This window comes from Homo sapiens, chromosome 6, assembly GCF_000001405.40.
Source record: "Homo sapiens chromosome 6, GRCh38.p14 Primary Assembly".
NCBI lineage: Eukaryota > Metazoa > Chordata > Mammalia > Primates > Hominidae > Homo > Homo sapiens.
The window spans coordinates 60,538,791-60,564,664 of NC_000006.12; the positions used below are offsets into that span (position 1 = coordinate 60,538,791).

General features: G+C 37.4%; 1 pseudogene, besides 2 other annotated features; it reads left to right on the forward strand.

The window, feature by feature from the left end:
• Window positions 1-6,839, forward strand: part of PRIM2BP (primase 2B, pseudogene) — a 264,192-nt pseudogene extending 257,353 nt beyond the window's left edge.
• Window positions 9,346-10,545: an enhancer, noted in NCBI's record as "CDK7 strongly-dependent group 2 enhancer chr6:57515883-57517082 (GRCh37/hg19 assembly coordinates)". NCBI's record gives its function as "activates an origin of replication core promoter dependent on BRD2, BRD4, P300/CBP, MED14 and CDK7 cofactors, with strong dependence on CDK7, by STARR-seq in HCT116 cells {active_cell/tissue: HCT116}" and the evidence as "EXISTENCE:reporter gene assay evidence [ECO:0000049][PMID:35650434]".
• Window positions 18,653-19,852: an enhancer, noted in NCBI's record as "BRD4-independent group 4 enhancer chr6:57525190-57526389 (GRCh37/hg19 assembly coordinates)". NCBI's record gives its function as "activates an origin of replication core promoter dependent on BRD2, P300/CBP, MED14 and CDK7 cofactors, and independent of BRD4, by STARR-seq in HCT116 cells {active_cell/tissue: HCT116}" and the evidence as "EXISTENCE:reporter gene assay evidence [ECO:0000049][PMID:35650434]".

A 25,874-nucleotide genomic window follows, 5' to 3' on the forward strand; every position in this document is an offset into this window, starting at 1 on the left:
ACTAAACCAGGAAGAAGTCAAATCCCTGAATAGACTAATAACAAGTTCTGAAATTGAGGCAGTAATAGCCTATCAACCAAAAAAAAGCCCAGAACCAGACAGATTCACAGACAAATTCCACCAGAGGTACAAAGCAGAGCTGGTACCATTCTTTCTGAAACGATTCTAAACAACAGAAAAAGAGGGAGTCCTCTCTAACTCATTTTATGAGGCCAGCATCATCCTGATTCTGAAACCTGGCAGAGACACAACAAAAAAAGAAAATTTCTGGCCAATATCCCTGGTGAACATCGATGCAAAAAATCCTCAATAAAATACTGGCAAACTGAATCCAGCAGCACATCAAAAAGCTTATCTACCATGATCAAGTCAGCTTCATCCCTGGGATGCAAGGCTGGTTCAACATACACAAATCAATAAACATAATCCAGTGCATAAACAGAACCAATGACAAAAACCACATGATTATCTCAATAGATACAGAAAAGGCCTTCAACAAAATTCAACATCCCTTCATGCTAAAAACTCTCAATAAACTAGGTATTGATGGCACATATCTCAAAATAGTAAGAGCTATTTTTTGACAAACCCACAGCCAATATCATACTGAATGGGCAAAAACTGGAAGCATTCCCTTTGAAAACCGGCACAAGACAAGGATGCCGTCTCTCACCACTCCTATTCAACACAACATTGGAAGTTCTAGCCAGGGCAATCAGGCAAGAGAAAGAAACAAAAGGTATTCAAATAGGAAGAGAGGGAGTCAAATTGTCTCTGTTTGCAGATGACATGATTCTACATTTAGAAAACCCCGTTATCTCAGCCCAAAAACTTCACAAGCTGATCAGCAACTTCAGCAAAGTCTCAGGATACAAAATCTCTGTGCAAAATCATAAGCATTCCTATACACCACTAATAGACAGAGACCCAAATCATGAGTGAACTTCCATTCACAACTGCTACAAAGAGAATAAAATACCTAGCAATACAACTTCCAAGGGATATGAAGGACCTCTTGAAGGAGAACTACAAACCACTGCTCAAGGAAATAAGAGAGGACACAAACAAATGGGAAAACATTCCATGCTCATGGATAGGAAGAATCAATATCGTGAAAATGGCCATAATGCGCAAAGTAATTTACAGATTCAATGCTATGCCCATCAAGCTACCATTGACTTTCTACACAGAATTAGAAAAAAACTACTTTAAATTTCATATGGAACCAAAAAAGAGCCCACATAGCCAAGACAATCCTAAGCAAAAAAAAAAAAAAAAAACAACAACGCTAGAGGCATCACGCTACCTAACTTCAAACTATACTACAAGGCTACAGTAACCACAACAGCATGGTACTGGTACCAAAACAGATATATAGACCAATGGAACAGAACAGAGGCCCCAGAAATAATGCCACAGATCTATAACCTTCTGATTGTTGACAAACCTGACAAAAACAATCAATGGGGAAAAGATTCTCTATTTAATAAATAGTTTTGAGAAAACTGGCTAGCCATATGCAGAAAACTGAAACTGGACCCCTTCCTTACAACTTATACAAAAATTAACTCAAGTTGGATTAAAGACTTAAACGTAAGACCTAAAACCATAAAAACCCTAGAAGAAAACCTAGGCAAAACCAATCAGGACATAGGCATGGGCAAAGACTTCATGACTAAAACACCAAAAGCAACGGCAACAGAAGCCAAAATTGATAAATGAGATCTAATTAAACTAAAGAGCTTTTGCACAGCAAAAGAAACTATCATCAGAGTGAACAGGCAACCTACAGAATGGGAGAAAATTTTTGCAATCTATCCATCTGACAAAGGGCTAATATCCAGAATCTACAAAGAACTTAAACAAATTTAAAAGAAATAAACAATCCCATCAAAAAGTGGGCGAAGGATATGAACAGACACTTCACAAAAGAAGACATTTATGTGGCCAACAAACATGAAAAAATGCTCATCATCACTGGTCATCAGAGAAATGCAAATCAAAACTGCAATGAGATACCATCTCATGCCAGTTAGAATGATAATCCTTAAAAAGTCAGGAAACAACAGATGCTGGAGAGGATGTGGAGAAATAGGAATGCTTTTCCACTGTTGGTGGGAGTGTAAATTAGTTCAACCATTGTGGAAGACAGTGTGGCGATTCCTCAAGGATCTAGAACCAGAAATATCATTTGACCCAGCAATCCCATTACTGGGTTGTACCCAAAGGATTATACATCATGCTACTCTAAAGACACATGCACACGTATGTTTATTGTGGCATTGTTCACAATAGCAAAGACTTGGAACCAACCCAAATGCCCACCAATGATAGACTGGGTAAAGAATATGTGGCACATATACACCATGGAATACTATGCAGCCATTAAAAAGGATGAGTTCATGTCCTTTGCAGGGACATGGAAGAAGCTGGAAACCATCATTCTCAGCAAACTAACACAAGAACAGAAACCAAACACTGCATGTTCTCACTCATAAGTGGGAGTTGAACAATGAGAACACATGGACACAGGGAGGGAAATATCACACACCAGGGCCTGTTTTGGGGGGGTGGGGTGCTAGGGGAGAGATGGCATTAGTAGAAGTCCCTAATGTAAATAACAGGTTGGTGGGCACAGCAAACCACCATGGCATGTGTATACCTATGTAACCTGCATTTTCTGCACATGGACTCCAGAACTTTAAGTATAATTTTAAAAATATTAATTAAAATGAGGATTCATTAATGATATGCACATACCTTAAATATTATATCTTAAAGTTAAGATATTTAAATGCCATTTATTAGTTAGAGCAGGGTCTTTTGAGTATCGTTTAGTGTTTGGAATTTGATTTTATCTTTCTTTTATAAACTATACCCATAATACAGCATCAGCAATTTCCAGTTTGGATTCCTTAAAGTAGAAAAGGAACTTGATATATGCAAAGCAATAGGATCTTTCTCCCTCTCCTTCTGTGACTTCCACCTTTTTTTTTAAGTGACTTGCTTTTCTTGACTCTTTAAAAACATTTTATTTAGATTTCATAGAACAACTCTTTTTATTTACATTCATTTTTATTTACTTTTCTCGTAGCAACCCTATGACCTAACACTGTTATCTCCATTTCATAGATGGAGAAACTCAGACTTTAAAAAGATTTTGTGCACATTGAAGTCTAATAAATGTATTGATAACTGACAACTTGAAGCGAGGTACAGAAAATGCCAAGATATTATTATAGCATAAGATACTAGGTTATTTTTGCATGAAATAATACAACTATGTTTTTATAATCTTTGTAGCCAAGTTTATCTCTAGAAATAAAATTTATAATGGAGATATCATTATCAGTATGATTTTGCATACAATCTCTTAAAACAGATTTCAGAGCAACTAATGATCTAGTCAGAAGGCCTGAATTTTAATTCAGACAAAACCAGTTACTAATTCTATGACCTTGAATAAACTATCTATTCTCCTTAGGCCTCTGTACATGGAGGAGATTGAATTTAATGGATTCCCCAAGGTCTTTCTAATCTCTGATTTTCTGTTTACAAACTATTTTACAAACTATAAAGCCTTCTGATTAAAATGTATTAGACAATAAGCATACTTTTTGTGAAACACATTGCAAAATGCAAAATTATATTGGATTTCCCAGTTTTTAATGAGTTGGGTGAAAATTGAATGTAATAAAAAAGTTCATAATAAAAAAGTTCATAAATGATTCCATTGTTAATAAAAATTATAAATATAAAACATTTCAGAAACATTTTGAAATCAAGCAGCTAAGTTAAAAAAATAAAGCAAAGATAAAAATTTGTTCTTAATGATCTATAACTCTTAAAATCAGTCTGTATACTATCCATCTGTTACACACTGGAATTACTATAAAATTACCCTAACATATATTAACAACTAGCAAAAGAGAATCAGAGATTCCTAGGGTGCTTAAATAAGTATTACCAGAAAAGACTCATGTTTCTGTCTGTTGGTCCGTCCACCAATAGGGTTCATTCTAGACCATGGCAGCAACCCCTTTTTCCCTGGCCAATTCATTTTAATCTACTATAAGATTATACATAGCTTTAATCACACCACGTCTCTTTTTAAGGGTTTTTGGTGACTCTGTTGCCTAGAGAATTAGGTCTTGACCACTTACCCTGATTTTCAAGGCTCTCTCAGGCTGGCCCCTGCCTGTCTTTCCAACCTCATTCCTTATTGTTTCCTTGTATGTGCCTTTCATAGTAGGCTATGTGAACTATTTAATATTTGCTTTCCCAGGACATTCCCTCTTTACCTTGCTCATGTGGTCCTGCTGCAAATATTGCCTTTCCCCTCATCATCCCAGCTTTTCACTCTCTCCATCTTTCCAGACGCAACTCAAATAGCACTCCTCTTACAAAGCCTTCCTTGATCTCCTTAGCCGAAATTTCTCTTTACTGTGGAGTGTAATAGGCCTTTATCTGTGACCCTCATCAGTTCTCCATTCTTGGTAGAGGTTTTTAAGTCTGACTTACTGGGTTGGAAATTTGAGTTAGTCAAATGTATTCCTGTATGCTGAATAGCGAATAGTTTATAACACAGTCTTTTATATAGTAAGGCTTTAATTAAATATGCAAAATTATCACTGGTATACACTATTTCTGGGTTCACTTCACCAAATATTTATTAGATACCTACAGTGTGCAAGTCACTTCAGTACGAAGGGTGAGACGTAAAAGGATTAGTTAATACAAGACAGATGAACAAAAGAAATGGAATCACTTCTCAGTTTCCAAAAACTTGATAAATGAAAATACCACCAAAGAAACCAACAGTCACTCACTCAAGCAAAATGATATTTTTGTTGTCAACTCCAACTGCAGAAGGCGAGAAGGCAGGGATTTGAGACTGTGGGAAGTGAAACTGAATATAAGGAGAGATTACTAGAGTGCATAATTTGAAATGATACTCAAAACTAAAGTTTAATGATAGTATTTGAGAAAAAATAACATAAGTTATGAACCAGGCATGTTTGTATTCGGTCACAGTGAAATTTACAAGAAGAGATTTTCTGTAAAAAGACCAAGGAAAGGCCAAGATTAGAATGAACAATTACATTGACTTAGGTTGCTTTTTCAGTTTATATCATACTAAATGAGTGCACATGCCAGACTTACAAGTCAGCTCTAAAACACAAGTGGTATCAGGGACCAGTATCAAAATGATCAAAAATGATTTTACGATCACTTAAAAACCCACAAATATTTATTGGCCTACAATGTGGTAGGCCTTTTGCTTGGAACTGGGGATACAATAATGAATCACACAGGTCCCTAACCTGTGCCTAATATACAATGTCATTCACACACATACACACACACACACACACAGGTTTGTATTCCAAACATATTTTTATAGTTTTCTAATTTTTTGTTTTGACGTAATTGTCAAGCAGAATTGGTAATGTTTTGGGTATTGCCAGAATTGAGGGCTTGGTGTAGATGGGAGGTGGCAGGTGGGAGTTGGGGGCTGGGGAGGTGAGAGAAAGGTGTCTAGTATGCCCCAAGGATGAATGGTGATACCAGTCACTGAGAGCAAAGGATGGGGAGAGGGGAAAGGATACGTTTCCTGTTGGGTTTGAGCTGCCTTTGAGCCATCTTAGATGTTGAGTAGGTGTTGGATATGGGACTGAAACTAGATAGGGAACTGGAGCCAAACACAGAGGCTCAGACTAGAAATATAAATGTGGGAGCCATTTAGGTTTGGGTAGTGGTTGAAGCTCTCTTTGAATGAAATGGTGTAAGTAGCTGATTAAGCGTTAGAATGCAAACAGCTAGAATCCATGTTTCAGGTATTAAGTTTTAAACAAGTACTAAAACAGCTTTTGAAACTCATATATTTATAGCTTTGCCATGTATTAATGCAATATAAATTTCCTTCCTTTACAGGTGGGTGATTGTGGCTTTTCTTTGAATCATCCTAATCATTTCTTTTGTGAGAGCCAACGTATTCTAAATGGTGGTAAAGACATAAAGAAGGAATCTATCCAACCAGAAACTCCTCAACCCAAACCAAGTGTCCAGAAAACCAAGGATGCATCATCTGCTCTGGCCTCTTTAAATTCCTCTCTGGAAATGGATATGGAAGGACTAGAGGATTACTTTAGTGAAGATTCTTAGGCAGTTTTGTAACCCTTTTTCCTCAATAGCCTGTTTCCTGTTTTTAAGATTTTGCCTTTGTTGTTGAAAAAGTGTTGCACTCTGTTGTGTAATTGTGACACAATTACAGCTGATTGCAGCCTCAACCTTCCCAGCTCAAGTGATCCTCCTACCTCAGCCTCCCAAGTAGTTGGGACCACAGGTGTGCACCCCATATCCAGCTATTTTTTTTCAATTTTTTTTGTAGAGGGGGGGTCTCCCTATGTTGCCCAGGCAGATCTCAGACTGCTGGGCTCAAGCGATCCTCACACCTCAGCCTCCCAGAGTGCTGGGATTACAGTTGTGAGCCACTGTGCCTGGCCTTTCTTTTTTTAACCTTTTTGTTTAACTTCTCTCTTCACTGCATCCCAATCCATCTACAGGCATGCACACTTATTAGGAAAGCAGGTTTGAGGTAACGAGACTTTCACTATATTTTGCTTTGACAGAAGGAAAGAGGAAGAGTTTCTATTAAAATCTGTCACTTGAGTGATGTCATTCAAGTCCTATTTTAGGAGATAAAAACACCTTTGGGGACTGGTTAAAGTCCCCCAGAAACTACAATAAAGAACAACTTTTGTTTTAACTCTTAATCATTTTGTAATTTTGACTCAATCCTTTTCTGGACCATTTTTGTTAATAAATATCAAAGTGTACATGACAGTGTCTGCGTATAATTGGGAGAGTCTTATGTCGTAACAGATTGGATATTACTTCAGTTTTAAAGTGGTAATTTGGAGTATCCAACACACTGCTGATCACTAATGAAGATTTTAAACTTTTCTTTAACTTTTTTTAAGAGTTGACCTATTTGTGGTTATTCTACATCAGGCACCAGACTCTCCTGAGTGAACTGTGACTTGGGAATTAAAATAAAGTATAGCCAGTTATATTTATTAAGGAATAATAGGGATATTTTATTATGTAAAATAATGGCACGTCTTATCTGCTGCCATTACTCTGGGGACAGGTTCATGAAGAATAGACAATTACCAAGCAAGAAGATTGTACATATAAAATAAAGTGTTTATTTTACCCTCTAACTTCCATACCTTATTACTTCTGTAGTTGCTGTGAATTACCAAATAGATTTGGTAAATTAATTAACTTCAGCAATGAATAGTGATACTTATAGTAACCCCCTCGTTTCAGTGCCAGCAATGGAATTTAATAAATGTTGTGGATGATTACAGACATACGAGATCAATGCCCTGTTCTCTCTGCCTGCGTTTGTCAAGGGAGTAAGGTGAAGTTGATGATCCCTGGCACGTATGCCTTGTGGAGCAATGCCATTGTGGATACCCTCATCTAAATAGTGATTTCCTCCTGGGGCTCTACTCACTCACCAATAGGATTTGGGGTGCTCAGGAAACCCTGTTTGAAACATAGTTCTTCCTCATCTATTACCTTGTAATGTGTGAAAAGTATTAGTCTATTTCTGTCTTCTTTTCCTGGTAAAGAGGGATACTTTTATCCTTTTGAATCAGATACTAACTAAATTGAAAAGAGCACATTGTATTCAGAAAACTAGACTGTTAGCAGGACCGTATTTTTAATCGTGATAAACTGCATCACGATGAAAAGGATTAAACAGGATCAGATCATCAGAAACTAAAAATGTCAACTAATTGAGTTTTCATTTTAGGCTTCTGAGTCAAAGATTTCTTGGAATATTTAGCAACATATAATTAAAGGAGATACTATCTAAACTTTTACTTGTCTTGGTGAATTATTATTACCTAGTTCAGAAAATAGTATTATTCCACTACAAATTACCCCTATAAATCTCTGCCTTCTGAAACCATCTGCTACTCCCTTCATCATTTGTTGTTCTCAACAGGAATCTGATGATTGCCTACCACTTTATCCATGGACTGCAAAACCACAAGTCCTTTAAAAAAAAATAATAAGAAGAACAAGTGCTACCTGGAGCTGTTTTAACCACAGAATTAAGTTAGCTTTAGAAAGCCGAGCATAGAAATGTAGGTCTTCGTTGTGTTAAAAGGGAGATATTAGAAGCACTCTTGCCACTGTAGTTCAATGAGAAATTTTCTGATAGAATGTTTTGTATCTGGCAGCATTTTGCAAGGCTGTCTTTTTCTACTGCTTCATGTTCTCCTTCTTTTATGAAGCCTGTGCTCCCACCAGCTAAAAGGACAGAGTCATTAATGGCATGGTAGATGCAGCTTACTGGACTGTTTATTTTATACTGGCAGCCCCAGGAATTTGTGTCATCTTACTTGAATGTTTTATATGTGTCTAATTGAACTCCAAAATAACACTAGTTTAAATATTAGTTGTATTACAGGTTCAACTCAATTTATTCATAATAAGGTTTGATCTCCTGTCATGTATTATACAGAAGAATATATAAACATTCTGTGAAATCTATAGATTAGAGGATAGGGGATAGAGGTTTATAAAAGAAGATCAAAATTAATGCTTTTCTGGTGCTTTTTGGAGTTGGAAAAAGCAATTTATTTTTCACGCTTCACAGGTCTTGACAATTTTGATTTGTTTTCTTTGAGAGCAGACCTGTTTGATCTGGGTGATGTAAAGAACCCAAAAGAAAAAATCAAAAGCCAACAGCCTCTTTTCAAAACCGTAGCCAGTGAAAAAGATTATGAGTCTTCCAGATCTTTTAACTGTTAGTCTTTTATTATCTCTTCAAGGAAGAGAGGCTGTATGATTGTATCAAAGACAAAAGAAGAAACAGCAAAAGAAAGAAACTAGGTTGGAAATTTGTAGCTGGTTGAAGCAATGACATTGTTAGGAGAAATTCTGTCATATTTCTTTCAAGTTGTTTTTCCATAATGTTTTTCACTCTGTCCATACAGTAAAAAACTTAATTGCCATGTGCATAAAAGAACACTAGGAAGGTTTTAAGTAAACTTTTTAGGACTGCTTATAATATTATAGAGTCATAAAAGTGAATAGCTATAGATTTCAAATGAGCTGGGAATGGAATAAAGCAATGGGAAAGATCTTTAATTCACATAGAATTTTAATAAGCTAAGGGATTTCTTCTCTCTCTAAAAACATGCCGGGTGTTTTGCTTGTTACACTTTGCTGTCTTATTGATACTCAGGGTCTTTGCAAGCAAACTTCTGTAATTCTTTACAAAGAAGAGAAGAAAACTTCTGGGATTTAAGCTTGAAAGGCGAAATGAGACAACTCTAAAGTTCTGTTTCAGTTAGAGTCTACTCTTTGCAAATTTAATCAAGGTCTTCCATAGGCATCAGCTTGACATTAAATTTAAGTGCCCATTAAAGTGAGAGTTTGACAGCAGTTCTGAATGTGAAGCTCAGTCTGAGGACATCTTTACAGCTGGAAGGGAAAAAAAAAAAAACGTTGAGAAGCCTCAAACCACTGTGGTAATTAGATCCATTTGTTAACTTCTTTTTTAATGTTGGCAAAGGGAGGGAGAGAAAAGGTTGACAGAGGCTGGAATCAGGAAGGCAGTCCAGAGCTCCCTGTAGAAATCGGGTAAGTATGGGTCCTGTATTGCAGAGAATACTGGCAGATATTCCCTCTGACAAATGAGTGAGATGGGGAAGTTATTTTATGAACTTCATTCAGTTTGTCTTCCTTTCAACACACAGAGCCACGGTGTGTGGAAGCTGCGTTTTGGATAGGTGTGCTGGTTTGGTCGTAAGGCCCTTTGGAAGACACAGAGCGTTATTTGGGAGTGGACCTCTGGTGGTACGTTGTTGGCCTGAAGAGTTAATGTTTCTCACAAGGGTATCTAACTTATATTCAGGTAATCACTTATTTACCCAAAGCATCTGGTATTTTCAGTATTGAATTCCTTTCTCACAGGTCGCGATTGCCCTAGTCTAAGGCTTCTCACCATAATTGGCATTGTAGGCAATTAGCTTCATGGAAATCATGTCGCCGGTAGGAAATTATCTTCCTACTTCACTGACCTGCCTGCCAAAAATGATACTAGTTCTTGTTATTGGTTTGCTTTCTATCCTGTAAGCTCTTTTTGTTCATTGCTTCATGACATTTTACTTTTTCCAGAATTATCACTGTAGAACCTTATCAGAGGCTAAAGAATATGTCTTTATATAAAGCTCCTGCATTTCCCTTGAGCTTTCCATTGCAGTACTGTTTTTGAACATTGATGACAAGGTAGTGAAACACTGCTAATAAATATATAATGGGTTTTTCAATTTAACCTTGCATTTCTAGGTATTCATTCACCACACTGAAACTATGAGGCTTTTTAAGGTTTTGTTTAGTTTTGCACTGAAAGCACAGGGAAAAATAAATTCAACAAATACTGCATTTAAGACTGACCATCTTGTGAGTATTTCCCCGATTACTCCCACACATTTTTTTAAGAGATCTTACCTTCTATTTGAGTCATGGGATACCAAGGTCTTCATTACTGATTAAAAATGACATAGTGATACATACTTCTCTTTTCCCTTTCATTGGCAAGAATTAAACTGTGATTTAAACAATGCTCTATCACCCTTAACTCTTGGTTGTCCGTAGAGTTCCTGCCTGGTTCTCTTCTTACTTCTACTTCATGAGTCTCCCTCAGTGAACTCATTCACCCCTATGGTATTTTTTTCCATCCATATGCAAATAATCCCCAAATCTGTATCTCCAGCTGAGAATTCTCTGAGCACAGGTCCATCTATCCAGCTATCTCTTGGATCTCTTTTTAGGATATCCCACAAGTATCTCAAATTTAATTTGTTCAAAGATCAAACCTGTTCTCTCATCTGTTTCTCACTTATTTTGTCAATACAGAAACCCTAAAGTTAACCTTGACTGTGATTTTCCACCTTCTCCATACATCCAAATCCAATTGATTCTGTTTTAATACCAGTGTGTCTAAACCAGTAGATCTCAAATGGGGGTAATTTTGCCATGCAGGAGACATTTTTGGTGATCACAACTGGAGGAGGGTCTGCTCTTGGCATCTAGTGGATGGAGGCTGAAGATGCTACTAAACATCCTACAGTGCCCCTACAGTGCACAGGACAGCCCTTCACCACTAAGAAATATGTGGCCCGAAATGTGCAGAAACCCTGTTCTAAACAGTTTCCTCTCCTCCCTTCCTTCCTTGTACTACATTAGATTGCCCTCTCATCATTCTAAGCAAAGTGGTCTCAACTAACTAGCCTAGTCTCCATTTGCCCACCCTGAACCCCATCCCATATCCTTCTTCAAAATCTAATCCAAATACTTTTCCCTTGGGTGTGTGTCTTGAACATGGCTCTCCATTACCTATATGAGGAAGTCCAACCACCTATTATTTTGTGCATGAGGCCCTCCATGACCTGGTTCTGTCTACCTCTCCAGTTCCATCTATTGCCATTCAGCTCCCTACTCTATAATCCAATCCAGTGATTTAGCCATTCTGCACAAACTTTCCCTGCACATTCAACTACACGCTCCCTCTTTCCTCATATTACCCTCTCTGCCTGGAATGCCCTTCCATTCCCCACAATGCTAACTACTGTTTCTCCTCTAAGGCTCAGGTTAGGTACATTCCTTCAGCCTTCTCTGTTGACCCCAGTATAGATTCATTGTCCCTTTCAGTTCATCTAACATATGCCATGGATGTTATACTTAATAGCTATATGACAGTACTTATACTTACAATCATCCATTTACTTATGTTTCCCTTATGTTTTATAGTACCCATTTACTTATGTTTCCCTTCATTACACTATAAAGTCCTTGAGGACAGAAACTATATCACTTTCATATTTGAATCCCTAATAATTAGCATTGTCTCTAGTTCTTAGCATCGTGCATGACATTCTTGGGCATTCAGTAAACATGGGTAGAGTGCATGAATGGTTACTTGCTTATTAGGAATCTCAAATTCATTGTTTTTAAGACCTACAAACAAGAGGTGGAATGGATTCTGGGCCCCAGATTGGAGGCATCACTTACAATCAAAACTTGGGCAAGCTCTTTAATTTTCAATGCTTCATTTGCTTCATATGATGAGGGGATAATGATTACATCTACTTCAAGATGATTCTATTAGCTGCTATTACATCTACAACTGTCAGAATTCTGTCTATCACATGGAAACACTTGTGTTGTTTGATAATCAACCCTTCCAACAAATGTTATACTACTACATGGATTCTCCCTATTTCAGGGGCATTCATTCTGAATATCCCTTACCTGGAGTAATCCTCTTATATCCACTATAATGTGGTAGACTGTGGGAGCTAGGGGAACCCACCAAACAAAGTTTTAGCAAAAAGCACACATGTCAATGGATCTATGACTGCCACACCTTTGACACCTTTGTAGCCAGGCAGGGTAGATGGAGAATTGCCAACTATGAAACTGGAGGATTTCCTATGTATGGGATATACTGTGGTATGAAAAGTTGCTCACAGGGTGTCACAGAGTACTGCTTGTTCTTAAAAAGGAAGAACCGAGGCAACTTGAGCTTTGGAATATAGAAATGTCAGTGGGTTTACATATGACTCCCAGTGAAAGTGATACCTGTGGGGTACCTAGTCTCCAAGCACTTAAAAAAGTACTTTTAGGTAGATCAAATCAGGTGCCACCATGGCACTTCTGGAAGTGCATAAGAATAGTAATCATCTGCATTTTCCCTAAAAATGACTCTGAGAGGCCTGGCATGGTGGCTCACACCTGTTACCATCACTTCAGGAGGTCAAGGTGGGAAGATCATGTGAGGCCAAGAGCCTGAGACTAGCCCGGGCAACACAGTAAGACTGTCTCTACAAAAAATAAACTAGCCAGGTATGGTGGCACTCACCTATAGACCCAGCTACTCAGGAGGCTGAGGCAGGAGGATCACTTGAACCTACGAGTTTGAGGCTGCAGTGAGCTATATCTAGCCACTGTGCTCCAGGCTAGGTGACAGAGTGAGACCCTGTCTCTAGGGGGGAAAAAATAGACTAAATTCCCTGAGCTGGCTCACAGGTTCTCTGATCAAATCAGGCACGGTGACTTCTTGGCCTGTGCACTTCTTTCTTCATCATGGTTTTCTCACCAAGGGCTTTAGGACCAGCTCCCATGACTGAGCAGCCCAAACTGCAGGCCGCAACTAAACCAACTCATTTCTATTATGTGGCAAGTTAATTAATCCTCCTGCTTCAGTTTCTCTATCTGTAAAATTGGGATAATAGCATTACCTACATCACAGAATTTGTATGAGATGAAATGAGATAGCCAGTGTCAAATGCTTTGTGAACAGTCTGACACATGGTAAGCTCTAAATAATTGTTAGCTATTATTATACAAAAGTTCTACTAAATTTTGTTTGAAATAGGGTTATCCAAATAAAGTTTGGAAACTATAATAAACTTTTGTGCATCAAAGGGTAAGAATTCTATGGAATACAAATTCTAAAACCCTTAGCCCTTCAGATAAAAAAATAAACTACAGACTCTCAGAATTATAAAGAATTTCTACTACCAGGATTTCTCCTAACTGTGTTTTGCTTGGCATCATGGAATAATCTATGCAAAGTAGAGCCAGGATTCCTCAAGGATCTAGAACTAGAAATACCATTTGACCCAGCAATCCCATTACTGGGTATATACCTAAAGGATTATAAATCATGCTACTTTAAAGACACATGCACACATATATTTATTGCAGCACTATTCACAATAGCAAAGACTTGGAACCAACCCAAATGCCCATCAATGATAGTCTGGATTAAGATAATGTGGCACATATACACCATGGAATACTATGCAGCCATAAAAAAGGATGAGTTCATGTCCTTTGCAGGGACATGGATGAAGCTGGAAACCATCATTCTCAGCAAAATATTACAAGGACAGAAAATGAAACACCGCATGTTCTCACTCATAGGTGGAAATTGAACGATGAGAACACTTGGACACAGGGAAGGGAACATCAGACACTGGGGCCTTTTGGGGGGTGGGGGGCTGGGGGAGGGATAACATTAGGAGAAATACCTAATGTAAATGACGAGTTGATGGGTGCAGCAAACCAGCATGACACAGGTATACCTGTGTATCAAACCTACACGTTTTGCACATGTACCCTAGAACTTAAAGTATAATAAATATTAAAAAAAAAAAAGAGTTTCCGGGACAAGTCCTCACCCTACAGTTGTTCACATTCAAAGCTTTTTAGAGAGGCTAAATGTAATGCAGGGTGTGTCTCAAAAGAAAACACACAAGGGAATGGACTACCCTCAATTTCCTTCTCTAAATTTCCTTCTCTAAACTGAGGACTTGTTTTTGAAGACTGAAAAAAAAAATTTCCTCTTGCAATCTCAAATTGTAATATAATAATTTCAAAAGTTGCTCAGAAGCTGTTGGTTTTCAATAGTAAAATGAAAAGTTAAAATTATAAAATTGTAAGCATCAAAAATCAATCAGCATCTTTCTTATTTGAACCTTGATATGAAATTATATAGGTATTCATTTTACTTGTCCCTTCCTTCTTTTGCTTTAAATGCAAAAATGACAGAAAATTCTTACTCAGCTAAAGATTATTTTTATATTCCTGCTTCTCTTGTGATGCTTCTTGCACCCATATTAGGAAACAAAGTCTTGAAGTTCTTTGTAATGTTATATGTTACTTCAATTAAGTATGTACAAATGTCATTTTTTAATTTTTAAACTACAAAACAAGATAAATTTTTTGAATTGCTAGTCACTTAGACTTATTTTTACAATTTGCCTCTTTATTCAGTCATATTGTCTATCATTTCCTTTCTTTTATATTTGGTAAAAATTTTCATAGACAAAAATTTTCCCATTATGATCTAATGATTTTTAAATTTTCCACATTCCTAGAATTCTGATTAAACAATCTCAAGGCATTCTTCAATTCGAAGCTCAAATCAAGCATAATTCAGGTTCATGAACATATGGAGATAATGATGGCTTAGAAAATTCGCCATGACCAAACTGCTGCTTTTGCTGCCTTGAAGTTCTGTGGCTATTTGCTTTGTAAATTTCTCCCCACTGTGGTTTCAGATACCTTGGGGAAAATAGACTCCTAGGCATACGAGGAGGACAGGATGGTAGTGGGAATGTAGAAGGATAAAGTTTCTACTCTACTGCTCTGGTTCTACACCCTTCAATTATATTACAGGGGGTCAACACTGAGGTGGCACTTCTAACTCTCAGAACTTTGTTAAGAACATCTCTACCTCCTAATGGTCTTTTTGTTGATTCCTTTGTTTGTTTTACTAATAATGTATTTTAACTATTATAGCTTTTATACCATTTAAATTGTTTTTCTGATAATTTTACCCCAATTTACATCTGTCCTACTATGTAAGTGTCATGCTTTGATGTGCTTCCTTTTTTCATATACTTTTTAATTGAAGATAAAATATATACAGAAAAGTGCAGGAAACATTAATGTACAAACTTTTACAAATTGAACTCACCCAATAACAATGCAGATTAAGAAACTGAATCTCAACAGCACTCCCCAAGGCCCCCCTCATACCAGCTTCTAGTCACTAGCCCCTTTCTCTTCAAAGGTAATCACCTATTCTAACTTTTAGCACCACAGGTGCCCTGCTCTGTCCAGGTCTGAGAGTTACCAAAGGCTAAAGTCACCTTCAGGAGTATGGCCATCCTTGGTGAATTGACACCTATGGCTGTGCTCCATTGCAGCTGTTCCCATGCCAAATCTGGGCTCTGCACAGGCTGGAGTGCTGTCTGTTTCAACTCTCTGGGTAGTTCTCTCTGCCAGCTCAGATGTCCATCGGGGTGTGGGGTGTCCTGCAGCTTAGGATTCTGGAGGTTGATGGTGAGAGTGGGCCACTCCATGTCTACTTCACTCACTCCTTCCCTAGGGGCTGCTCAGGGCCAAGAACAAGTCCTGAGGCTCAGCAACCCCATGCAGGGTTCCCAACTTCCTTCCCTTTCTCTTTAAAATTTTTTTGTTTTGTTTTGTTTTATTTTTTTCTGAGACGGAGTTTCACTCTTGTTGCCCAGGCTGGAGTGCAATGGTATGATCTTGGCTCATTGCAACCTCCATCTCCTGGGGTCAAGCGATTCTCCTGCCTCGGACTCCTGAATAGATGGATTACAGGCATGCCCCACTAATCCTCCCTCCCCTTTCACTCTGCGGTCTGTGTCCTCTTTCTGTTCACTCTCAATGCCCTCTTTCCAAAGAGTGTGCCAGTTTACTTGATGGTCTTGTTGGGAGACCAAAATGGGCTCTCTTGGTGGGAGAAGCTTTTCTTGGCTGTGTCTAGTCAGCTGTCTTGGCTCTTACCCCTTTCTTGTCTTCTTAAAGTCTACTTTGTCAGATATTTATACAGCTACATGTTTGTTTTGTATTGTATTTTAACTATTATATTAATATGTATTTTAATTATTTTATTATACATATTTTAATTATTATAGCTTTTATACCATTTTGGTTGTTTCTGTGGGATATATTTTTCTGCAATTTTATTTTTAAACGTTCTATATCATTATACTTAAAGTCATCTCCTCTAAGCAGCATATAGTTTAGGCTTTGCTTTTGTATACAATCTGGTAATCTTTGTCTTTATTTGCACATTGGTTCCGTTTACATCTAATGTAATCACTGATATATTTGGTTTTAAATCTACCACTTACGTTTTGTTTTCTATTTGTTTCATCTGTTCTATGGTGTTCCTTTTCTCTCCTTTCTGGATTTCTTTAAAAAATTTTGTTTTGCTCTTACATTTACTTGTTAATTATATAGTATTTTACTATTCTTTTACTGTTTAACCTAGAATATATAACAGGAATCCTTAACTTATTAAAATCTAATATAAATTAGTACTTATGTTTACTATTTCAAGATAATGCAAGCACCTTTATTTCCATTTATCTTTCTCCTGCCTTATATGTTAACATTTAATTATATATTTTAAACCCTTAATTCTCTCTGTATTTTAAGCAATACATTATTATTGTTTTATACAGTTATTGTTTATTTAGCTCTATCTACATATTTATTTACCATTTTCATTACTCTTTATTCTTTCCTGAATTTTCATCTGGAATTATTTTCCTTCTAACTGAATAACTCCTTTTAGTATTTTCTTTAGTATGGGTAAGCTGATGACAAATTCTCTTAGTTCTTGTTTGGTAATTTCTTTATTTAACATTCCCTTTTGAAGGATATTTTTACAATGTATAAAATTCTAGGTTTGAATCCAAGTATACATTAATAGATAAATAGTTTAAAAATTTTATTTATGTATATACAATAGAATATCATTCAACCTTTAAACAGAAGAAAATTGACACACGTTGCAACACAGATGAATTTTGAGGACATTGTGCTAAGTGAAATATACCAGTCACAAAAAGACAAATAGTACATGATTACACTTATATGAGATATCTAAGGCAGTGAAATACATAGAAACAGAAAGTACAATGGTGATTGCCAGGTCACTGGGGGGAGGAGAAAGAAGAAAAGGGGTTGTTTAATTATATGTACCGAATGTTATGTTCACCCCAAATCCATGTTAACACCCTAATTCCCATTGTGCTGGTAGTTGGAAGTGGGACCTTTGGGAGGTAGTTAGGTCACAAAGGTAGAGCTCTCATGAGTAGTACCAGTGTGCCCTTTATAAGAGGAGACATAAGAAAGATGATCTCTCTCTCTCACCACCATGTGAGGATGCAGCAAGAAGGCAGCTATTTGCAAACCAAGAGGACTCACACCAGACACCAAATCTGCTGGCACTCTAATCTTGGTCTTCTTAACCTCCAGAACTGTGAGAAATACATGTTTGTAGTTTAAGCCACCCAGTCTATGATATCTTGCTATTGCAGCCTGAATTAAAACAAATAGGGGTAGAGTTTCTGTTTTGCAACACAAACAAGTTCTAGAGATTGGTTGCACAATAATGTAAATATATTTAATACTGCCTAACTTTACTCCTAAAGTGGTTAAAATGGTAAATTTTATGTTATGTGTATCTTCTCACAACTTTTTTTAAAGTCTAGGTTTGCAGTTGTTTTCTGTACCACTTTAAACATTATTTTTTTTTGTCTTTTGGTTTCCATTGTTTCTGTTGAGAAGTTAGCTGTCAGTCCTAAAATTGCTCCTTTGTAGGTAATACATCTTTTGTTTCACACTGCTTTTATGTTGTTCTCTTTGTCTTTAGTTTTCAAGTTTATTATATATATAGGGTATTTTTTTCTAGTTCTGTAGGTGATGTGTGATACTTCTGAAATCTGAAATTTGATGTCTTCAGTTTTAGAAGATTTCCTGCCATTGTCTCTTCAAATATTGCTTCTTCTCTTTCATTTCTAGAGACTACCTTTTTACTTTCTGTTTTTTAGTTCATATATTTTTATTGAGGGATAATTCTCCATGACATTTCTATATATTTTGTAGATATTTTCAAGGATGTTTGTATAGCAAACCAAGATAGAAGTAGTGTTTCCTTGTAGGGTGGAGGGTACTTTGTTTCATCAGCATCATAAAGATAATGTCCTCCTCTGAGACAAAGATTGGTCAGGTTTGCTAGAAGTCCTGCGTAAGATTGGGGATTTCCTAAGCATGAGATTCCTCAGCAGTGACACAGATCTATTGTGTCCACAGACTCTACTTAGACTCACCTCTGTATCACTCCCATGGGACTGGGGATGGGGAGTGGGTTACAGGGGAACTAAAGCGTTGAGTAGTATCTTTGTCTCTGAAACAGCAGTCTGATGCTTTCTTTCAGCATCTGTGAAATTGTGACAGCCTAACTTAGCTTGCAAGTAGGCTAAAATCTCAGAACGCTCAGAGTTCATGACAATTTTCTACTGAGCTATATTTTAGTTCACTAATGCTCTCTTTATTGTTGTGTCTAATCCACTGTTAAATATATTGAGATTTTAAATTCTCTTACTGTATTTTTTTAGTTCTAGAATATCCATTTGATTCTTTTTTGTAGCTTCTAGTTCTCTGTTAGGATTCTGAATCTAATTCTTGATTTTTTAAAAAACGTAACTTTCACAGGTATTTTTAAGCCCCAGTTTGTTAACTCCAGTGTCTGGATTGCCTATGAATTTATTTATGTTGTTTGATTTTTTTTGATGGGCTTATCTCTACATTTGCCTTATAATTTTTGATCGAATGTTGGAATAGTGTTTGAAAAATTATAGAAATAATTTGAGGATGTGAATGATATTATCTTCTTTCAGAAATAATTTACTTCTGTTTCTGTAGGGCAGTTAGGCAGTAGCATATCACTCCAATCCAATCAGGAGTTGGAGTGACTTGAGGCATGGTTTTAGTCTTTATGAGAGCTGGTCTATTTTTCACTTTGCACATCTTCCTGATTGTAGTTTTTCAGGAGTCCCAGCCAGAAGCCTTGGGTTTTTATCAAGGCTAGTATTCCTTGGAAATCCCAGGACTCCAATTTTTATCTTCCCCAACTCCATGAATCTGCTGTAAGGTGTGCTCACTTTTCAGCCTTCCAGGCTGCAGTTTAGTCTAGAAGCAGACTACTGCAATCCAAATAGGGATGGATGTTATTTAAGACTAGGTTTCAGCCTTTGTGATGACAAAGACTATATATAGCTTTTGAGGGGTCCAAAATGAAAGCTCAGGGTATTAAGGAGGACTCATCTTGCTAGGCCTTGAAAGATTGACAAAATTCTTCCAGTTTATGTAAGACTTTCCCAATTGTAGTATAAAAGCCCCAAATCCTGAGAAACCCCTCAGTCCCATGAAAACTGGACAGTCATCCTAGTTTTGAACTCCAATTTTTTAAATCTCAATCTTTATTTCAGAAGGCTAAAAACTCCAATTATCTTTTCAGTTTTTTGACTGGTCATTGTGAATCAGCAAATATCTAATGGGTTGAAAGGATGCCATGTCCCCATATAAACCAAGCTCATTTCCATTGTTCGGCCTTTAAACTTGCTTTTCCTTTGTCTGACATGGTCTTCCACTAAATTTTCTTGCAACTGTCATTATTCATGGCTCAGCTCAAGCATCATCTCTTAAGAACAACTTATGTAAAGCAGCCCCATTCTCAGTGTACTTTCTATCCCAATGCTCCATTATATGTTCTTCATAACTCATCACTATCTCGAATTACTCACTTGTTAGATTACATTTTTATTACCTGTCTTACCCTCATCTAAGTATATATTCTGGGAAATAAACTCCATAAGAGCAAGTACCTTGTTTATCTAGTTTATTTCCATATACACAGCATCTAGAACAGTCCTAGAACTTAATAGGGGCTCAATAAATACTTACTGAATAAATAAATAAATGTCTTCTGCTGATTCGTATTTTCCAAAATTTCTCAAAACCTTAAGGCTGCCGAAATGCAAGTTGCACCACAGTTAATAATTCCTTACCTATTTGAGTCCTCTCTCAAGTAGATTGAAATTGAGTTGTTTTATAGGGCTCGTTTTCCCAATTGTTTTTGCAGTTAACCAATGCTATGGTTGAATGTCCCTTCCAAAACTCATGTTGAAATTTCATTGCCATATGATAGTATAAAAGGTAAAACCTTTAAGAGGGGATTAAAGGTAATCCATTATCACCCCTGTGATTAATGCTATTATTACAGGCATGGATTAGTTATCATAGGAAGTGAGTTCCTGATAAAAAGGAGTTCTGCCCAATTTCTCTCTTGTGCAAGTGCTTCTCATTATGTGATGCCTTCTGCCATGTTATGATGCAGAAAGAAGACCCTCACCAGATGCAGCCCCTCAGTCTTGGACTTCCCAGCCTCCAGACCTTTTCTGTATAAGTTACCCAGTGTGTGGTACTCTGTTATAGAGAGAAAATGTGCTAAGACAACCAAAGATCACACTGCAAGACCTAGAAGTTTAACTTAGAATAATTTAAATTCTCTGAGAAATGCACAGCTTAACAGCCCATGAACATCTTCATATGTCCTTCAGAAAGTCATGCAGGAGTGGCTTTATATTAATGATCAATCTGTCAAAGCAAAATGCAAATGATGATGAGTCACTTTGTCAAGTGGGTGTACTAGTGCTGTGGATTATTGATGAGCTCAAAGGAAGAGGTCGTGCACTAGGGAACTCACACTGTGACAAAGATTCTCATTAGTGTTATTACTCTAAGACCTCTTATCAGCCAATAAGGCTCAAAAGGAAAAATAAAGAAAACCAGAACTGGGGGCTGACATTGGGAAAATAATTATGCTGCTATTGTGATATTGCTTATGAAGTACACCCTCAAAAATAAATGACAAAATGCCTAAAATACAATTTCCTTGGGATACATTACTCAGTAAGATGAAGAGTATCTTATCCATGGAACAGTGGTATGAGGATCTGATGATGAGCAAAACATTTTTATTGCATACTTACAGAAGCCAGGTTAAGAAAGTAAGATGTATAAATATAATTAAACATCATACTCCTAGCTACCACTTGTTGAGAGAACCAGCATCCTTGGCACCATCTTCAACACCATTCTTCCTCTCCTGCAAACCTTGTTGCTTCTAAAATCAAACATATCCACAACATGACCATATCCCACCACCTCACTGTTGTATCCTGTTCAAAAGTGTTATCACTTCTTGCCCAAATTATTGTAGTAACCTTTAACTGATATAATCCATTTCTAAATTGCTTGAACACCTAATGATGGCTCAGCAAAAACTAACATTTTAAAATGTATTCATGAATAGTAAGGTACACCAAACAGAAACAGCTGTTTTTCTAAGCCTTTGCAAAGAAGGGGGAAAGCTATTGGGTGTGGAGGTGGGACAGAGGAAAACTATAGCCAGTGGGCCAAATCTCACCTGTTTCCTATCTTTGTAAATAAAATTGTATTGGAGCACAACCATACCTATTTATTTATGTGTTGCCTATGGCTGTTTGTACTACAATGGCAGGGTTGAGTAGTCCAAACAGAGATGTATGACCATCAAAGCTTATTGTATTTACTATTTGACCTTTAAAGAAAAAAACTTGTCAGTTCCTGAACTTAGGATGTAGCTCATGTTCTTGTAGAACCATTAGAATAGATCATACTATGTTTATTTTCCTTAAGTGTAGCTAGGAAGTATCTATATACATTATTCTTAAACTTCCAGAATATTTCTGTAAAGAAATTTTGTCAAAAGTCAAACCTAAACAAAGCTTCCTTCCTAACACAACCTTAGTGTTTCCAAGAAGTATATAGCTCAGTTCCAGTCATCTAAAAACTAATGTTCTGTCCATCGAAGTAATTAAAGTCTTCAGTCCACCACCATTTAAAATTAGTGCTCTGGCCAAACCGCCACAAATGCTCTATGTGACTCCATTTTCTGTTGTGTTTCCTTGTCAGATTTGATTCTTTATTTCACTGAAATGGACCAATTTTTAGAAGAACATTATTCCATTCTGAAAACTTCCTGTAAGGCATGCGTTCATTACATGGCATGAGGTGCTTGAATTAATGCACTACCTATATTCTCAAGGCTTTGAATAACATATGTCAAGTATATATTCTTATAGATTTGAACTTAAAGCATTCCTTCTGCTCACTTGACATTTCCCTGCATCTTCTATCTGTCCAAAACTAAACTCTCAATCTAACACTTACCCTGCCCAGACCTGCTTACTTCAGCCATCTCCATCTACTTACAGCAGCTCCATCCTTCTCGTCACCTAGGCTAAACAACTTGAGTTCATCCTTAGTTTGGATATACAATGTGTGGGAGAGAAGTCTAACAGACAGTCTGTGATGGTTAAAACTGAGTGTCAACTTGACTGGATTGAAGGATGTATAGGTGTGTCTGTGACGGTGTTGCCAAAGGAGATTAACATTTGAGTCAGTGGGCTGGGGAAGGCAGACCCACCCTTAATCTGGTAGGCACAATCTAATCAGATGCCAGCAAAAATAAAGCAGGCAGAAAAATGTGAAAAGGCGAGACTGACTTAGCCTCCCAGCCTACATCTTTCTCCTGTGCTGGATGCTTCCTGCCCTGAAACATCAGACTCCAAGTTCTTCAGTTTTGAGACTTGGACTAGCTCTCCTTGCCCCTCAAGCTTGCAGACAGCCTATTGTGGGACCTTGTGATTTATGAACTCATATATACATATATATTTATATATGTATACACATATATGTATATATACACATATATTTATATATGTATACACATGTATGTATATATACACATTTATATATGTATACACATGTATGTATACACATATATGTATATATACACATATATTTATATATGTATACACATGTATGTATATATACACATTTATATATGTATACACATGTATGTATATATACACATTTATATATACATAGATACATGTGTGTGTATACATGTATACACAAATATACATGTGTGTATATGTGTATACATGTATACACAAATATACATGTGTGTATATGTGTATACACATACATATGTGTAAACATGTACACATATATACACACATACATGTATATACACATACATATATACACACATACATGTAGATGCACATACATATATATGCATACATGTATATACACATACATATATGCATACATATATATACATACACACATACATGTATATGCATACATATATACACGTATGCATATGAACACGTACACATATGCATGTATATATACATGTATACATGCATGTGCATATACATGTACACATGCATGCACACATGTATACATGCATGTGCGTATACATGCATACATGTGTGTACATGTATGTGTACATAAAAATATACACATGCATACATGTAACTGTATATGCATGCATGCATACGTATACACACATGTATGAACGTATGTGTGTACACATGTATACATGCGTACACATGTATACATGCGTGCACATGTATACATGTATGGACATGTATACATGTATGCGTATATACATGTATACATGTGTGTATATGCACATATACATGAATACATGTATATATACATGTATATATGTGTGTATATACACACATATATGCATGTATACATGTGTATTATACATACATATATACTGTATACGTGTATATACACATGTATACACGTATACATACATATATGGGGAATTCCCTATGATCAGTTGACAGAGGAAGAGAAGACTAGGGCCTGGTTCACTGATGGTTCTGCACAATATGCAGGCACCACCCAAAAGTGGACAGCAGCAGCATGACAGCCCCTTTCTAGGACATCTCTGAAGGACAGCAGTGAAATCTTCCCAGTGGGCAGAACTTCAAACAGTGCATCTGGTTGTACACTTTGCATGGAAGGAGAAATGGCCAGACGTGCGATTATATATTGATTCGAGGGCTGTAGCCAATGGTTTGGCTGGATGGTCATGGACTTGGAAGAAGCATGATTGGAAAATTGGTGACAAAGAAATTTGGGGAAGAGGTATGTTGATGGACCTCTCTGAGTAGTCAAAAACTGTGAAGATATTTGTATCCCATGTGAGTGCTCACCAACAGGTGACCTTGGCAGAGGAGGATTTTAATAATCAAGTGGATAGGATGACCTGTTCTATGGACACCACTCAGCCTCTTTCCCCAGCCACCCCTGTCATTGCCAAGTAGGCCCATGAACAAAGTGGTAATGGTGGCAGAGATGGAGGTTGTGCATGGGCTCAGCAACGTGGACTTCCACTCACCAAGGATGACCTGGCTATGGCCACTGCTGAGTGCCCAATTTGCTAGCAGCAGAGAGCTACACTGAGCCCTCAATATGACACCATTCCTCGTGGTGATCAGCCAGTGTCCTGGTGGCAGGTTGATTATATTGGAACTCTTCCATCATGGAAAGGGCAGAGGTTTGTCCTCATTGGAATAGACACTTACTCTGAATATGGGTTTGCCTATCCTGCCTGCAGTGCTTCTGGCAAGACTACCATCCATGGACTCACAGAATGCCTTATCTACCATCATGGTATTCCACACAGCATTGTCTCTGACCAAGGTACTCACTTTATGGCTAAATAAGTGAAGCAGTGAGCTCATGCTCATGGAATTCACTGGTCCTACCATGTTCCCTATCACTCTGAAGCAGCTGGATTAATAGAATGGTGGAATGGCCTTTTGAAGTCACAATTACAATGCCAACTAGGTGACAATACTTTGCAGGGCTGGGACAAAGTTCTCCAGAAGGCTGTGTATGCTCTGAATCAGAGTCCAATATATGATACTGTTTCTCCCATAGCCAGGATTTATGGGTCTGGGAATCACGGGGTGAAAGTGGAAGTGGCACCACTCACCATCACCCCTAGTGATCCACTAGCAAAATTTTTGCTTCCTGTTCCCACGACATTATGTTCTGTTGGCCTAGAGGTCTTAGTTCCAGAGGAAGGAACACAGCCACCAGGAGGCACAACAATTCCATTAAAATGGAAGTTAAGATAGCCACCTTGGGCTCCTCCTACCTTTAAGTCAACAGGCTAAGAGGAGAGTTACAGTGTTTGCTGAGGTGACTGACCCAGACTATCAAGATGAAATCAGAATACTACTTCATAATGAAGGTAAGGAGCAGTATGTATGGAATACAGAAGATCCATTAGGCTGTCTCATAGTATTGCCATGCCCTGTGATTAAGGCCAATGGGAAACTACAACAGCCCAAGCCAGGCAGGACTACAAATGGTCCAGACTCCTCAGAAATGAAGATTTGGTTCACTCCACGAGGAAAAAATCTGCTACCTGCTGAGGTGCTTTCTAAAGGCAAAGGGAATACAGAATGGGTAGTAGAAGAAGGTAGTCATCAATACCAGCAGCTACCACATGACCAGCTGAAGAAACA